Source organism: Homo sapiens, chromosome 2, assembly GCF_000001405.40.
Source record: "Homo sapiens chromosome 2, GRCh38.p14 Primary Assembly".
In the NCBI taxonomy this organism is placed as follows: domain Eukaryota; kingdom Metazoa; phylum Chordata; class Mammalia; order Primates; family Hominidae; genus Homo; species Homo sapiens.
The window spans coordinates 37,976,346-37,993,748 of NC_000002.12; the positions used below are offsets into that span (position 1 = coordinate 37,976,346).

General features: G+C 37.6%; 1 protein-coding gene and 1 long non-coding RNA gene across 19 annotated transcripts in view, besides 1 other annotated feature; one reads left to right on the forward strand and one right to left on the reverse strand.

Annotated features, from left to right (window-relative positions):
* The window catches only part of RMDN2 (regulator of microtubule dynamics 2), a 146,238-nt gene that overhangs the window by 55,445 nt on the left and 73,390 nt on the right, over window positions 1-17,403 (forward strand). For all 18 annotated transcript variants that reach the window (XR_939668.4, XM_047443519.1, XM_047443518.1 and 15 more), the window contains 3 exons: window positions 4,938-4,998; window positions 13,196-13,271; window positions 14,875-14,952. Coding sequence is in view for 17 of the 18 variants with exons in the window: in XM_047443519.1 (XP_047299475.1) it covers window positions 4,938-4,998; window positions 13,196-13,271; window positions 14,875-14,952 (215 nt within the window). In the remaining variant the exon portion in view is untranslated. The remainder of the gene's footprint in view (window positions 1-4,937; window positions 4,999-13,195; window positions 13,272-14,874; window positions 14,953-17,403) is intronic.
* Window positions 1-17,403, reverse strand: part of RMDN2-AS1 (RMDN2 antisense RNA 1) — an 86,008-nt gene that overhangs the window by 26,012 nt on the left and 42,593 nt on the right. The window lies entirely within an intron of this gene.
* Window positions 4,026-4,389: a silencer, noted in NCBI's record as "fragment chr2:38207514-38207877 (GRCh37/hg19 assembly coordinates)". NCBI's record gives its function as "represses an EF-1alpha promoter that drives an FKBP-Casp9 reporter gene in an ReSE screen in K562 erythroleukemia cells {active_cell/tissue: K562}" and the evidence as "EXISTENCE:reporter gene assay evidence [ECO:0000049][PMID:32094911]".

Consider the following 17,403-nt stretch of genomic DNA (forward strand, 5'->3'; position numbering starts at 1 on the left):
CAGCATAGTACTTTGACATCAAAATCTTTTGAATTCTTCATTTATTCCGAAGGCTTCTCATTTCCAGGCTTTTCTTCTAGAAAAGATAGCAAGAGGAAGACACAGCAAGAAAGATTTCTTCCCAGTCTAGTTCTCTGTAATTTTTATTTCCAAGTAGAAAGTTTTACCAAACTCCTTGTAATTATATTTTTCCACTTGGAGATTCATTTGCTGAATGACCTCTGTGCTTTCGTTTCCCCCAGTGGGAGGAGGATGAGAGGGCTTCCCCCTCTTGTTTGCATATTCATCATCAGCTTTGTGGAGTTTTTCTGTAGCATTCCAGTTTGCAGACCATATACAAAACAGAATTCTAGAGAAGAGATGTATTAATTTCAACATAAATAAAAACTTAACCAAGGAGAACAAGGGGATTTATTTTCATATCTACTGAGAAAATCCAAGTATATCTATGTAAAGTGTTCCAACATTCATCAATATTAAATACATTTTTTTCTTTTTTTTTTTAAATTTTTTTAGTATTTATTGATCATTCTTGGGTGTTTCTCGGAGAGGGGGATTTGGCAGGGTCACAGGACAATAGTGGAGGGAAGGTCAGCAGATAAACATGTGAACAAAGGTCTCTGGTTTTCCTAGGCAGAGGGCCCTGCCGCCTTCTGCAGTGTTTGTGTCCCTGGGTACTTCAGATTAGGGAGTGGTGATGACTCTGAACGAGCATGCTGCCTTCAAGCATCTGTTTAACAAAGCACATCTTGCACCGCCCTTAATCCATTTAACCCTTAGTGGACACAGCATATGTTTCAGAGAGCACAGGGTTGGGGGTAAGGTTATAGATTAACAGCATCCCAAGGCAGAAGAATTTTTTAGTACAGAACAAAATGGAGTCTCCTATGTCTACTTCTTTCTACACACAGTAACAATCTGATCTCTCTTTCTTTTCCCCACATTTCCCCCTTTTCTATTCGACAAAACCGCCATCGTCATCATGGCCCGTTCTCAACGAGCTGTTGGGTACACCTCCCAGACGGGGTGGTGGCCGGGCAGAGGGGCTCCTCACTTCCCAGACGGGTCGGCCGGGCAGAGGCGCCCCCACCTCCCAGACGGGGCGGCTGGCTGGGCGGGGGCTGCCCCCACCTCCCGGACGGGGCGGCTGCCGGGCGGAGACGCGCCTCACTTCCCGGATGGGGCGGCTGCCAGGCGGAGGGGCTCCTCAGTTCCCAGATGGGGCGGCTGCTGGGCGGAGGGGCTCCTCACTTCTCAGACCGGGCGGCCGCTCAGAGACCTCCTCACCTCCCAGACGGGGTGCCAGTGGGGCAGAGACACTCCTCAATTCCCAGACGGGGTCGCGGCCGGGTAGAGGCGCTCTTCACATCTCAGATGGGGCGGCGGGGCAGAGGCGCTCCCCACATCCCAGACGATGGGTGGCCGGGCAGAGACGCTCCTCACTTCCTAGATGGGATGATGGCCGGGAAGAGGCGCTCCTCAGTTCCCAGACTGGGCGGCCGGGCAGAGGGGCTCCTCACATCCCGGACGATGGGCGGCCAGGCAGAGACGCTCCTCACTTCCTAGATGGGGTGGCGGCCGGGCAGAGGCTGCAATCTCGACACTTTGGGAGGCCAAGGCAGGCGGCTGGGAGGTGGAGACTGTAGTGAGCCGAGATCACGCCACTGCACTCCAGCCTGGGCAACATTGAGCACTGAGTGAGTGAGACTCTGTCTGCAATCCCGACACCTCGGGAGGCCGAGGCTGGCAGATCACTCGCGATCAGGAGCTAGAGACCAGCCCGGCCAACACGGTGAAACCCCGTCTCCACCAAAAAATACGAAAACCAGTCAGGCGTGGTGATGCGTGCCTGCAATCGCAGGTACTTGGCAGGCTGAGGCAGGAGAATCAGGCAGGGAGGTTGCAGTGAGTCGAGATGGCGGCAGTACAGTCCAGCCTGGGCTCGGCATCAGAGGGAGACCGTGCAAAGGGGAGGGGGGAGAGGGAGGGGGAGGGAGAGGGAAAGGTAAATACATTTTTTTCATAAGTACCTGCCCTACCCTGGGTATTATGTACTAAGGTAGGAATAGGATAGCAAAATAGACATGTTTTCAGGCTACAGGGGAGCTTATGGCTTTGTAGGGGAGGCAGCACTAGTCAAATAATCATACATATACAAAAACGAATGGAAATAAGCTCTTATTAAAGAAGAGTACAGAGGCTGGATGTAGTGGCTCATGCCTGTAATCCCAGCACTTTGGGAGGCCAAGGCGGGCAGATAGCTTGAGCTCAGAAGCCCGAGACCAGCCTGGGCAACATAGGGAGACCTTGTCTCTACTAAAAATAACACGACTGAGGTGGGAGGATCGTTTGAGTCCAAGAGATCAAAGCCACAGTGAGCCATGATCTCACCACTGCACTGCAGAGTGGGTAACAGAGCAAGACCCTTTCTCAGATAGATAGATAGATAGATAGATAGATAGATAGATAGAGAACAGGCTGTTTGCGAGCATATGTAGCAGAAAGGAGAATATGATGGCAGAGGATGGAGGTTGATGCAGGGAAGTCTTTCTTATGGAAGTTACAGTTTGCCATAGGTAAAATCGCTCTGGATCTCTATTCTTAAATGGAATGGGAGTTTAACTGAGTTAATGTCTTAGATGGTGAAATTCGTAAAGAAATAGGTTGAAGGGAATTCAGGGGCTAAAATGAAGCATAGAATTGAAATAGGATATATCCAAAAGAGAAGAGTTTATAGTGCCAAAGAAAAAGGAGTAGAAAAAGCCTCCGATGTGTTCATTCAGATATTGAAATAAAAGTAAAAGAATTCCTTTAATTTATCCATTTAAGAAATATTTATTCAAAATTATTTTGTCAAGGAACAGTGTGAAAACGAAGGGTGGAGGGAAGGGGAGGAGGGAGAGAAGGAGAGGCATAAATAAGATGAAGGCTGCACAACACTACGGAACCTATTCTATGGAAAAGATAATAAAGGGACAGCCAATTATATTCAGTGTATAAGGAGTAAGTGCTTAGTAATGGTAATGACCAAGTATACTGGAACTGAGAGCAAGGCAGGGGCTCAGACCAGCCGTGGAAGAACGTTGGGGTTCAGCATGAGGGAGGAAGTGCAGAAGATTTCTTCTCATAATAGCATGTTTAAGGTTGTTATGCTTAGTACAGATTTGATCACTGGAGAGTACAAAATTCTTTGATAAAACTCAAAGTGAGTATATCATTATGCAGTATGTTTCTGAAGTATTATGATATGAATCTTTATTTAAAGAAACATTTTTCTAACTTTCCTAATTAAGTAATCGATATGAATGCATCATAAAGATCACAAAATACAGTTCTCTAAAGGAAATAGCTTTACTTTTATTCTGACTGCATAAGTGAGGCTATGAATCTAGTTTGTATACTACCCGGCGTCTTTTTATATTCTTGGAGTGATGGAATCACTTCTATTTCAGGCTTCTGGCAGTACGCTGAAAGTTTTATTCATTTGGTAATGTAGCTAAAAAATTGATTTAGTTTTTAATGTTTTTACATTAAAAAGCATGTTTTTAATCATTCATTTAAAATTGCTAATTTCTTTAATATTTGTTCACACTGCAGTTAATTATTATTAAAATGCTTCACTTTTTAATTGTTTCCAATTTATGTCGATTTCTACACAGAATATTTATCTTAATGGATAGAACTGTAGAATGCCACCTTAACAAATTAACAAATAGAACCGTGGTTTTAGAATAAAATATTTTTATTTATAAAGATTATCTCAACCACTTATTTAGAAAAGCATTTTGCATATCCTTGGATAGTCTCTTCAAGATAATAATAATGGATCAGGGAGAAAAGAAGTTATAAAACAAAAGGGCCCCTTTTGAGAAAGATTCTCAGAACACAGTTCTGTTTTATTTGCAGGTATTTAGATTTTCCAAGCCATAAACAAACCTCTATCCAAATTATTATTATTTTTGGTTTTTTTTTATTTGAGACAGAGTCTCGCTCTGTCCCCCAGGCTGGAGTGCAATGGCGCAATCTCAGCACGCTGCAACCTCTGCCTCCTGGGATCAAGTGATTCTCCTGCCTCAGCCTCCTGAGTAGCTGGGATTACAGGCATGCACCACCACGCCCAGCTAATTTTTGTGTTTTTAGTAGAGACAGGGTTTCGCCATGTTGGCCAGATTGGTCTCGAATTCCTGACCTCAGGTGATCCACCTGCCTCGGCCTCCCAAAGTGCTAGGATTACAGGTGTGAGCCACCAGGTCCAGCCCCAAATTAATTATTACATGGTTAAAAATTCCTCTAAAACTAAGTAAAATAATTTGGGGGAATTATTTATGTCACTGGCCCTGTTCATTATTGTGAATGATTAGGCAAGAACTTCTCAGGGAAGCCTTCCCTTACTCCTTCAGGCAGAGTTAGAGTTACCCACTCTGCTGTGCCCTCTTTTTCACCTTGGTCTTTTTTTTTTTCTTGCATGTAACTTACTTGTTTATATGCCTGCAGCATACTGAACGGTGAGCTCTTGGAGGTCAAGGACTCTGTCTTATTTTACATTTTATTCCCAGACACTCACACAGTATGGCACATAGTAGGTACTCAGTAAATGTTGTTTGAATGGAATACAGAAAATTTCTATTACGCTTTGTAAGCAGTAATTAAATGACGTTTCTTGCACTTGGTTAAGTTGCTTAGTCTAGTGGGTGTCAAACCTTAGCATACATCAGAATCATTGGAGGCTCATTAAACCACAGATTATTGGGCCCCAATCCCACAGTGTGTGATGGAGTAGATCTCCAATGTGGCTGAAAAGTTCTTAAACAAAGTTGCCATGTGATGCTGATGCTTCTGGTCTTGGGACCATACTTTGTGAACCATGAGTTAATTCAATAATCCACCTCCTACCAACTCACATGAAGGTATTAAGTGTAAGTACTTTTATCTTTCAGGAAAAACTTTAAGTGAAAGAGCTATTAATAGAGCACCCATGAATGGACATTGTCATCTGTGGTAAGTGTATAGGATTTATGCAGTCTTTTAAATTCTAACCTGCCTCTTTATAAATTAAATGGATTTTTCAAAATACTATTGACTCATACGTTTAATCTGTCAGTCACATTCACTGAAAAATATGTATAATAGCACAGTAACTGTTCTTATTCTGTTTATTCACATTTTTATTATGCAGCCTTGAAATATATTTAAGGGAAACTTTTATTGAAAAATTATTGAATGAATCTACCAAGTCTACTGGCTTTGAAGATGATACGTTATAATTAAATCTAGTTCAGTATAACATTTTGCTTGAACACAAATACTAAAATGATAGCATGTTTCTAAATGAAATGTAGAAAAGCACATCAACCATTTCTTATGCATTGATGCATCGTAATATACAAATTCCACAGATCAAGGAAAAGCCATTTATGATATTAAAAGTTCAAACAAAGAGAATTTAATTAGTTAGATTGGTATAGGTAAATATCCTTAGAGCAAAAAAAAAATCATTCTTAATTGTGTTTGGACCCTTTGTATGTTTATGTAAACATTATTTTATAAATATAAATTATAAATTATAAAACAATAAGGAATATATTGTTTTAAATTATTATTCTTCCTTTTTCTTGTAGTTGCATTTTTACATTTGTTTTCTTTTTCTCTTGGTTTCTTTTTCTCTCCAGCAATACAGGTGCCCCAGATAGTGGGAAGATACAATAATAAATGTATGACCCTTTCTTCAGCCCTAAGTTTCCAGAAATCCACCCTTCTTTGCGGTTACTTTATTTCCCATCCCTATGATGTAGGGGCACTCTTAGGCAAAATCTCTCTTAAAATGACTCCCTTTCCACAGGTCCACATTTGTCCCACAGAAGACTCATTTTTGCCCCACCAAAATCTGAAGTACAAACCATTTCCTCAAAGGAGACCTCTTTTTTCACTCTGCCACCAGCAGGGGGAGCTCCACTCACAAACTCTCACTTAAAATTCCCTGGGGAGGAATCCGGTAACATTTTATTTGTCCGAACTCAAAGGGACACATGCCAAAATATGAATAGACTTTTTGATGCTGCCCTCACATAGCTTTAGATGAGATGCAAGCCTAGCCCCTGCCCTCTGTCATGAGAGAGTGGAAGGCAGAACCCACAGCACCCTAACCCTGTAGAAATCCTCACTCCCAGTCTCTTCCTCCCTCTGGTGAATTATTTTCCTTATCTTACGTAGCCTGGAGAAGAGTGAAGGGCTAAATCTGGCAGAACCTGTGAATAATTTCTTAGTGTGTCGCGGATGGATAGTAGAGAATCTTGCTTTAGGGATTGGAGTACCTAATAGATAAAGTATTGTTTTGTACTCGGTGCCTCTGCCAAAATTCTAGGGAAAAAGGTAATTTTTCAGGTAACAATTTGGTACAGACTTAAGATCATTTCCCTAGAACAGAGGGTCTTGGCAATTATTTATGTTAGCCAGGTTTACCTAGATAATCTAATTTACATAATAACACTAGTAAATTAACATATATGTTAAAGTACTTCTGTTCCTACGTTTAGTAGTAACTGTAATGAATTTGTGGTGATCAAGCCCTACTCTCTCTCTTCATCGCGTTTGATAATGGAGGTATTTGGGAACTGGTTAGCCTAATTAGGATGCAGAAAGAACACCGAAGTCCTACTTTTAACTCTCAACTCCTCCTCCTCCTCCCCTACTCTTCCTGTCTCTTACCTCTGACTCCTCTGTTCCCTCCCCTCCTCTTCCTTCTCTTCTTTCTCTCCCTCGTCTATTGCTCTTCCTTTCCCATCCTCTGTCCTCTTCCTTCTCTCCCACATGCATCTGTACCCATGAAGAATCACATTAAAAATGTGCATTTGGTGTAAATCGTCAATTTGAGGTTATTTATCAGTGTGGGTTTCCAAATTTTCATAGAGGAGCAATGTTGAATTTGAATTTTCTCTGAGGGCTTCATTAAGTACCTTGAAATGTATCTTGTGAGCATAGATGATGCTGAACTCTGGGTTTCCCAGTCTGTCTTCCACTAATCTGGTTACATCTCCTTTGTTCATCTTCTTTTACTTTTTGTTGAGAACTAAATGCCTTGTCTTGTTTATAATCATAGCATTTAACCCCAGTATTAAATCTTATCAAAACACAGAGTAGTGATTCAATTGTGTTTCACCTAATTTCTTATTCAGTATCAGTTTTGAATTAAAAAAATAAAATTAATCAGTTGATTAAGATTTGAGAAATTTAAATGTCAATTTAATCTTAATTCTTATACTATATCCCACTGAATGCAAAAGTCCTCCTTAAATTAAATAGTAGATGTTTGAGGGGATGAAAAAAGAAATTTAAACTTTGACTTGAGAAGCAATGGGTGAAATTTAGGTGGCCTGATTTTATAATTAATTATAATAAAATGTTCAAATCTTATTCTGCTGGACTCTCTTTAATTATGTTAAAACTGAATTAAGGCTGAATTTATTAGTATGATAATAAGACATATTCTCATTCATTCAGCATGAATGACAAACTATAGCCTGCAGATGAATTTGACTGCCTGTTTTTGTAAATAAAGTTTTATTGGATCACAGCCACACACAGGCATTTTTGCACAGCAGCAGAGTAGTTGCAAAAGACTGGCCCCAAAGTCTAAAATGTTTACTATCTGGCCCTACTGCAAGAGTTTGCAGACCCATCGTTTACAGTATTATATGATGGTTTACAAACCTTCAGTTTGAAACAAAAGATGTAATCTTTAAGAATAAATTTCAAAAAGGGTTAGTATGATTTGGGAATGATTGAAAAATACAGATCATTCTAATGACTTAGTTTTATCTCTATCTTTTCTAAAATGAAATGACTTTGTAACTTTAAGGCTGTATATGCTTTCTATAAGATTCAGTTGTTTTTGTTCTACTGACAAAAAATATTTAATACTCCTGGAATCAAGAGAATGAGAATAAAGTGACCAATGGATTTGCAGTTTGTTGGCCAAATAAGCCAGACCTTAATTATAAGTAATGTCTTACATATTGGTTGTGCTCTACCCTTTGCAAATTATATCCACATGTCTTAGAACATGTGATTTACAGAGCAGCTTGTTTTCACTTTATAGATGGGGTAAGCAAGGTACTGTGTGTATGTGTGCATGCACGCATGAATGTGTGTATTGATTAGTAATCAGAGCAATACAACAAGTGGAAAAACAGAAACTAGAACCCAGTTTTGTATTCTTATATGCCTAGTCATTTTTCTGTTAACAGTATGCTGCCTCTGCTTTTTCATAGTATAAACAGCATTGGTGCTGAATGAGAAATACTGCAGGGAAATTAATGGAGTTGTTTTAGTAGTTGTTGAAACAGTATGATAGTCAATGATTAAGGATATATTCACTATCAATGCAAAGAAAAATACAGTGTTCTTGTCAAAACATATGTAGTTAGAATGACCTCTAGATGGAGGTAATATACCATGTTGTGAATTAACTTTTTTCAGAATTTCCATCAGCCTGAGTATTTGAGAAAAAAAAATAAAATTAAGTATTTTAAATGAACAGTATTAAAAAATCAGATACACACACAAACATAGGTAGAATGGATTGAAAGAAAAGAAGTAATGACCCTTTGGGAGAAAGTGACCAGGTAGCTTTGAATTTATGATACATAAAATGATAGATAATATTTTAAACTTTAAAGAAGCAGATTCCAAAAAAATATGAAAAATGTAACTCTAGGGGCAGATTATTTAAAAGGGAAAATGTACATATTTCATATTATGGTATTTATAAATCATGGGGTTTTTTTTCCCTTGACTCAGAGTAACTTGGAGAGAATATGTTGAGAGAGCAAAATAAAAGCCTAGAGATATCCATAAGTAGTTCTGATTTGCAGAAAATAGCAGAAGATAGATTCTACCACTATAGACCAGTGAACATAGCATCTATGCTTTTCATTCCAGCACGGTTAGATGGGTTGTTTTGTGCATCTCTAGATAAGTGTGTACGCTGAAAGAGAACCAAGACAGATTTTTCTAAAAAGGTGAAATGATCTGTTTTTTATTTATTTATTTATTTATTTTGCTAGTAGAGTAGGGAAATCAATCCAGTATACCTGGATTGAAGTAAAGCACTGAGGCAAGTTCACTCATAACATTTTTTGGACAAGATGTAGAAATGTGGTCAAGCTTTGAGTCAGCTAACCCATGCTGACTAAACGGTTTGAGGCTCAGTTATGCAACAGATCACTGTCAATCTGGGGGTGATTCTAGGGCCAGGTCTGTATCTTGGTCCCCAGTGTGTTCAGTAATTTTGTTGGTGGGTGAAGATATAGAAAGTATGCTTGTAAAAGTTACAGAGAACACAAAATTAGAAGTAACAGGGTATATGATGGATCACAACAGTAACTCAAAAGATTTTAACATGTTGAAAAAGATACCTAACAAGTTATGAATTAATAGAAGTAAATATGAAAGGAAGGATGGAGAGAAAGATGTCAAAAATGACTAAGGATAATAGGGAAATATGATAGAAATTTGAATAAAATATAGATTTTAGTTAATAGTGTATTAATATTGGTTCATTGTGACAATTTTGTATCAATATTGTATATCAATATTGGTACAGTTTTGACAAATGTACTGTAGTAATGTAAGATGTTAACAATAGGGAAAACTAGGTGTGGCATGTAAGGGAATTGTCTGTACTATGAGAATTTTTTTGTAAATTCAAAGCTGTTCTAAAAGTATATTTAAATAGAAAGTGGCCTAAAGTTTTAAGTCCAAATAATTTGGAAAATGATAATGCCCATGACAAAAATAGAGAGTTTGGGGAGGTAGTCATATTGAATTTGGAAGGATTAGAATTGTTCCCCAAACTGGAACTCGTTGAGAGGAAACATTGAACAGAATGGCAGAGGCCATTTCAAAATAACATGGTGAGTAGATAATTTGAATAGGCCTACTTCTATTGAAAAAATGGAATAAATAATTTATAATTTTCCAAAACAGAAAGCATCAGGACCAGACGGGGTCATTGGTAAATTCTACCAAATACTTAAGGAGAAAATTATACCAATTACATAAGATAGAAGTAGAGGGTACACTTCCTAACTCATTGTTTGAGTGTAGCATTACCCTAATACCAACATCAGACACTGGAAGGAAACTGTAGTAGGCCATTATCTCTCATGAATATAGAAGCAAAAATCTTCAATAAAATATTAGCAGATTGAATCTGACAATGTGTAAAAAGAATTATATAACCAAGTGAGATTTATTCCTGGTCTGCAAGACCAGTTCAACATTTGAAAATCAATTACTATAATCCACCACATTAACACACCAAAGCAGAAAAAAATTACATGATTATTTTAACAGACACAGAAAAAGCATTTGACAAAATCTAACACTCATTGATAGTGCAAAGAAAGAAACTCTCAGCAAACTAGCAAACTCTCAGCAAACTTTATCAAGTTGAGGAAAATTTTATCAATTTTCCTCAACTTGATAAAGAACATTTACAGGAAACATACAGCTAACATTATACTTAATGGTGAGAAACTTGCTTTCCCACCATTGAGAAACTAAGATCAGGAGCAAGGTAAGGATGTTCCCTCTTACCACTGCTTTTTAACATTATACTGAAAGTTCTAGCTAATGCCATATAACAAGAAAAGAAAATAAAAGGTATGCAGATTGGGAGGGAAGAAATAAAATTGTTTGCAAAGACAATGATATGATTGTCTTTGTAAAAAATCTAAAAAAAAAATCTCTTGGGATTAAGCAATTATAGCAAGGTTGCTAGATACAAGGTTAAGGTACAAAAGTCAATCAGTTTCCTCTATACCAGCAATGAAGAAGTGGAGTTTGAAATTAAAAACATAACACTATTTACATTAGCACCAAAAATATTGAAATACATAGATGAAAATGAACAAAGTATGTACAAGATCTCTATGAGAAACGCTTAACAAATATTCAACAGGCGAATGAATAAAACTATGGTATATCCATTCAATGAAAAATTACTCAGGGCTAAACAGAAATGAGCTATCAAGGCCATGAAAAGATGTGGAGGAACCTTAAATACATATTACTAAGTAAAAGAAGGCAATCTGAAAAGGCAATATACTATATGGTTCCAACTATATGACATTCTGGGAAAGACCAAACTATGGAGACAGTAAAAGGATCAGTGGTTGCCAGGGGTTGCGGGGAGGGAGGGATGAATAAGCAGAACACAGAGGATTTTTATAGGAAGTAAAACTTTTATGTAACACATTACAACAGTATACACATGTCATTATACATTTGTCAAAACCCATAGAATATTAAACACCAAGTACAAACCATATTGTAAACTACGGACTTTGGATGTTACTGATGTGTCAGTGTAGTTTCATCAGTTTTAACAAATGTACCACTGTGAAGTGGGATGTTAATAGTGGGGGAAGTTGGCCAGGCACAGTGGCTCTTGCCTGTAATCCCAGCGCTTTGGGAGGTCGAGGTGGGCAGATCACCTGAGGTCAGGAGTTCGAGACCAGTCTGGCCAACATGGTGAAATCCCATCTCTACTAAAAATACAAAAATTAGCCAGGCATGGTGGCACATGCCTGTAGTCCCAGCTACTCAGGAAGCTGAAGCATGAGAATTGCTTGAACCTGGGAGGCAGAGGTTGCAGTGAGCCAAGATTGCACCACTGCACTCCAGACTGGGCGATAGAGCATGTCTTCATCTCTAAATAAATAAATAATAGTGGGGGCTATAATGTAGGGGCTAGGATAGGAGATATATGGGAATCCTCCATACTTTCTGCTCAGTTTTGCTGAGAACCTAAAAGTGCTCCAAAACATAGTTTATTAATTTTTTAAATAAAAGAACATAGGCCTGAGGCAACAATAAGTTTTTATAAAGCAGTTTGAGAGTCATTTTCTGTTAATCTGCTTTTCTTGAATTTGAAATCTCTGGAAAGATTTATTGTGGATCTAGAGAGGTACATGAAATTCAGTCTGATTTTAGAACTCGTGAGTAGTAGTGTATCCTAATCTAGTTAAGTTCTGAGGTTGTTTTTAGTACGTTGATATGGTCCTCCTCCTTGCTTTTACTATAGCAGATTCTGTTGATTATACAGAAACTGAAAACAGAGATCAAAAAGGTCATAACTGAAAAGTGGCCATTTTATTGGTTGTCCATATGTGGTATGAATTAAGTTATCGTTTGTGTCTAGGAATGGTCTTACTGTTCCAAATTAAAATTATTCACTGTTTTTTTGTACTTGGAAGTTATGGATATTCATAGAAATGGCTGAGATAAATAACATCCAAAGTTACATTTTTCATCTTAGTTACTATGACAATGCAAGTAAAAATTAACACCTACTCGAAATATTTAAGTAAATGGATATTTTACCTTAGACAAAAACACTCTGAAATACTTCAAAGATTTTTGTACAGGTAGAAACACTCTGAATGTGAAAAGCAACATATCTTCAATTTTTCCAGTAAATAAGCAAATTGCTGAACAAATATTGCATGCAACTTAAAGTCAAATAACTATTTGTATAAATTTTTGTATTCTCAGTGGAAACAAATAAATGACCCATGGGATGCACTATTCTAGCAATGAAGTGTTTCCAGGAAGGGTTGAAGGAGAAGGGGAAATTTTTTGAAAAAGCATACTCTAAAATTACCTTTGATTTTGTTTTAATCGTGGTATTTATTTGCATATTTATTGGTATTAAAGGAGCTCATGAAATTGTAAGTTTTTTAAAGGAGGGAATGAATTTTTTAAGTTGACTTTAACAGTATTTTTAATGTTATAAATCTGTTGACAATATTTTTTCTAATTTAATGCTTAATGTGATTAGACTTTTTCTGAGAGTTTCTTCATGACTTTAATATTGATGATGATGATAGCGGCAGGTAACATTTATTGAAAGTCCTTATGTCCTGGTCACTGTTCTAATCACACTACCTGTTTTGGCTTATTTTACCCTCACAGTATACATGTAAATATTGTTAGTATCCCCAGTTATAGATGAGAAAACTGGCCTCATGTTAATGTCAAGTATTTATTATTGTTAGGGCCCTTATATTTATATGAATACTCCTGTTAAATATGAATGAATGCTTTAGAGTTTCTTTTAATGTTATGTTTTGGTGGCATTTTGTTAAAAATTTACACAGTGGCCACTGTTTTTGTCTGTTTTTGTCCTTTTCAGGTATGCAGTTTTGTGTGGCTATGTATCTGAGTTTGAGGGTTTACAAAACAAAATCAACTATGGGCACCTCTTCAAGGTATTTCTTTTTTTTTTTTCATATTTCTTTTCAGATCCAGACATATGGAAGGGTATTTATTAATAATAAAAATGTTTTAATGTAGCCATATGTTCCATCAATGGGTATAAACCAGATTATTCAACAGATTAAGCTCTGGGAATTTGCTTTTTTGTTTAAATGTTAGAAAATGAAATTATACTCTTTAAATAGTACTGTGACAAAAAGAATTAAATTATTTGGGTGATTAAAGATTATTATTAGTTGGCCGGGCACAGAGGCTCACGCCTGTAATCCCAGCACTTTGGGAGGCCAAGGTGGGTGGATCACGAGGTCAGGAGATTGAGACCATCCTGGCGAACACTGTGAAGCCCCATCTCTACTAAAAATACACACACACAAAAATTAGTGGTGGCGGGCGCCTATAGTCCCAGCTACTCAGGAGGCTGAGGCAGGAGAATGGCATGAACCTGGGGGGCGGAGCTTGCAGTGAGCCAGGGTCACGCCACTGCACTCCAGCCTGGGTGACAGAGTGAGACTCCGTCTGAAAAAAAAAAAAAAAAAAAATTATTATTAGTCCAGATTCTGAAAGAAGTCACGGAGTAGATGAGTATCACTTTTTCAAAGATTAAGAATTAGCCGGCCGGGTGTGGTGGCTCACACCTGTAATCACAGCACTTTGGGAGGCTGAAGCGGGCAGATTGCTTGAGGCCAGGAGTTCGAGACCAGCCTGGCCAACATGGTGAAACCCCATCTCTACTAAAAATACAAAAATTAGCCAGGCATGGTGGCGGGCGCCTGTAATCCCAGCTACTTGGGAGGCTGAAGCAGGAGAATCGCTTGAACCAGGGAGGCGGAGGTTGCAGTGAGCCATGATCATGCCACTGCACTCGAGCCTGGGCAATAGAATGAGACTCCATCTCAAAAAAAAAAAAAAAAAAAAAAAAAGGCCTTTTGGTCATAAGCTCAATAACATCTTAAGTGTGACCAGCACTAAGTAGTTAACAATCTCTGCATATTGATTTGGTGGAGGAAAAGTAGGATCCAATGTAGGATTTAAGTTTGCCATGATAGACAAATAAAGTAAGTAATACACACACACACAAAATGTAGTATTTGCCTCCATAGCTCAATACATAACCCCTCAACGTCAATAATTACAGAGATGAATAAACTGTTCTTCCCTATTTTCCAGCTCCCTATAACCATTTGATAATGCCAGAGGAATAGGTTTCTCCCCCATCTAACTCTGCTATTTTTTCTGCCATTATCCCCTATTCCATGTCATTTGATATTTGTAAGCTCACCTCAGAATCAGTAACTATTCACTAGTCAAGTCATGGGTAGGCAAACATATGACTTCGGTGTTTTCAATTTTTATAACAGTATTTTGGCTTTAAATTACACATAGCTTTATTAAATCCTAGTCACAGTTCTGGTTCTGGTTGTAAGCAATCATTTTTGGTAATTTAGTTATTGATAAGATTTCATTGTATTAATGATAGGGATGGGGAGAACTGAGACAATATTTTAAAACCACTTTTGAGTTACTAGGCTTTGGTGTAGTTCCAGTCAACAATATCTGAAACTTGGGAGATGATTTTCCTTTGGATGCTTTTTTCAGGAACATCTAGATATAGCAATCAAACTTTTACCAGAGGAACCCTTTCTATATTACCTCAAAGGGAGATACTGCTATACTGTAAGTTGAATGCCTTTATTTATAAACTTTATTTGAATATACTATGATTATAGGATAAATTTTCAATGACTTATTGTTTTATTTTTACCCAGTGCCTACTTTAGGGAGAATTATAATAGCAATAAAATTTTATTTTAATGTATAATATATATGTTAAAATTGTATCTGAATTTATAATTTATACATTATAATTTTAAAAGCTATAATCTATGTATTTTATAATTTATAAACTTGTAATTTATATATATTTGTATGTTATATGCCACATTTTATATATATGTGATCTTTTTCTTTCCTGCTTTTTCATTTCTTTTTGCAGTAGTCACGTTCCCTCCCTTTGTGGCTGTCTCAGTTTGGGATCAACAATCCACACACACACCCTGTGTCTAGGTACACTATTCACGGTTCTGTGAGAGGACTTTTTTTCATCCAGTAGTGTATACTGAGCACAAATTATGTGCTAACTAACTGGCCAGGGATGAATAAAACACTCCTTGCTTTTAAGGAACTTAATTTGGAAGGGATACGCGACATATATAGCTCAAATAAAAGCAGCTGGTCCGTGTCTTAAATGACACTATTAGTTTATAGAAAATTACAGAATGTGAAAATGTATCTTAAGAATATGTGAAAAAAATTATCGTGAAAGGACAATGCCATTTTTGAATGATAAAATTGGGGTAGGCAAAGAGATAACTTCTTCATTGCAGCTGAAAGAGAATTAGAGGTGAAGAAGGAAGTTTGCTTTTATTGAACACCTGCTCTATGCCAAATATGCATTCTGTCCTTTATATTTCTTGCTGCATTTCATCCTTAAAACAGTGCTGTGAAGCAGTTATTATTATACCAGTTTTAAAAGATTAAAAATCTGAGTCTTCATGATGTTAAGAACCTTCCCAAAGTCCCATTTAACTAGTCAATGAAAGAGGCAGCATTGAAATTGAAATTGAATTCCAAAATTTATGCTCTTTATATTGTGTTACGTACGAAGAAAACTTACATTTTGTTAAGGAAAAAGGAGTAAAGGTATATCATCTGTTTTTCTCTTTTTTTCCTGGTTGTAAGATGGCAAAGTCAAATAATAGAATGATTACAACACTCAAATTTTTATAACCTACTTAATGTTGTAAAATACACAATGATGCCTTCATTCTCTGAAATATTGCACTGTTGAGTATACTGTTAATTTGCTAAGTTTGTATTACCTTCCAACAACTCACATGTTTTACTTACTGTTTCTTTTCTGTTGATCCCAAGTTATCTGAAATCTCTTCAAGGAAAGAATGCACATTTTACACTTCCTGGTAATTTTTCTTCAGCATCTAGCTCAGTTTTTTGCACTTAAAATAAGCTGCTTCTACAAGTATTTGTTTCTTAAATGATTGATTCACTAAAACTAGAGAAAAAGTACAAAAAAAACAAAGAATAAAAAGCAGTAGTAATAATGGCTAATGTGTACGTGGCTCTTGTAAGCATTTTATGTGACTGTAAACATATATTGTAGCTCACTCACTTTTTCAAAAACCCTATAAGGTTAATAAGGTTAATAATTTGCCCAGGGTCACTCAGCTAATAAGCAGGAGAACAGGATTCAAACACAAGCAGTTTGTTTCTTTTTTTTTTCTTTTCTTTTCTTTGACCAAGTCTCGCTCTGGCACCCAGGCTGGAGTGCAGTGGCATGATCTCGGCTCACTGCAGCCTCCACCTTCTGGGTTCAAGTGATTCTCTTGACTCAGCCTCCCGAGTAGCTGGGATTACACGCGTGTGCCACCACGCTCGGGTATTTTTTTATTTTATTTTTATTTTTAGTAGAGACGGAGTTTCGCCATGTTGGCCAGGCTGGTCTCACACTCCTGGCCTCAAATGATCCACCTGCCTCGGCCTCCCAAAATGCTGGGATTACAGGCATGAACCACCGCACCTGGCCCAGGCAGTTTACTTCTAAAATCTTTGCTCTTAACTAGTAAGCTCTACTGCCTATAAATTATAAGTATAGATAATGAATATGAATTGTGGAAGAGGAAGTTGGAACTCTTTCCACCAGGGGGAATCAGCTTCCGCCAAGGTAATAAAGCAAGTATGAGCAAATGTGTAAAGAAAGTTTCCAGCATATGCAGACTAGAGAACTCAAAATTTTCTGGCCACACAATATCTTAAAGTGTGTGTTAGTCTGAAGTGTGTATGTCTGTTTCTAATCAGGTCAATGGAAGAACCTACAGAAAAAAAAAAAAATAACAATAAGGGGAACAGCCAAAGGCCAGAAACAAAGCAAGAATACCAGTTCCAAGTACTGGTAAGCCAGCCTTGAAACCACCTGATAGTCGGAGGCATTTACCAAGGCTGGTAACCTAAAGCTTAGTCTGTAGACCTTTGTTGGGACTGGGGGACTAGAGACCTGAGCAGAGCAGAGAGCAGCTTGAAGACTGCCACAATATATCTGGGACTCCAAAA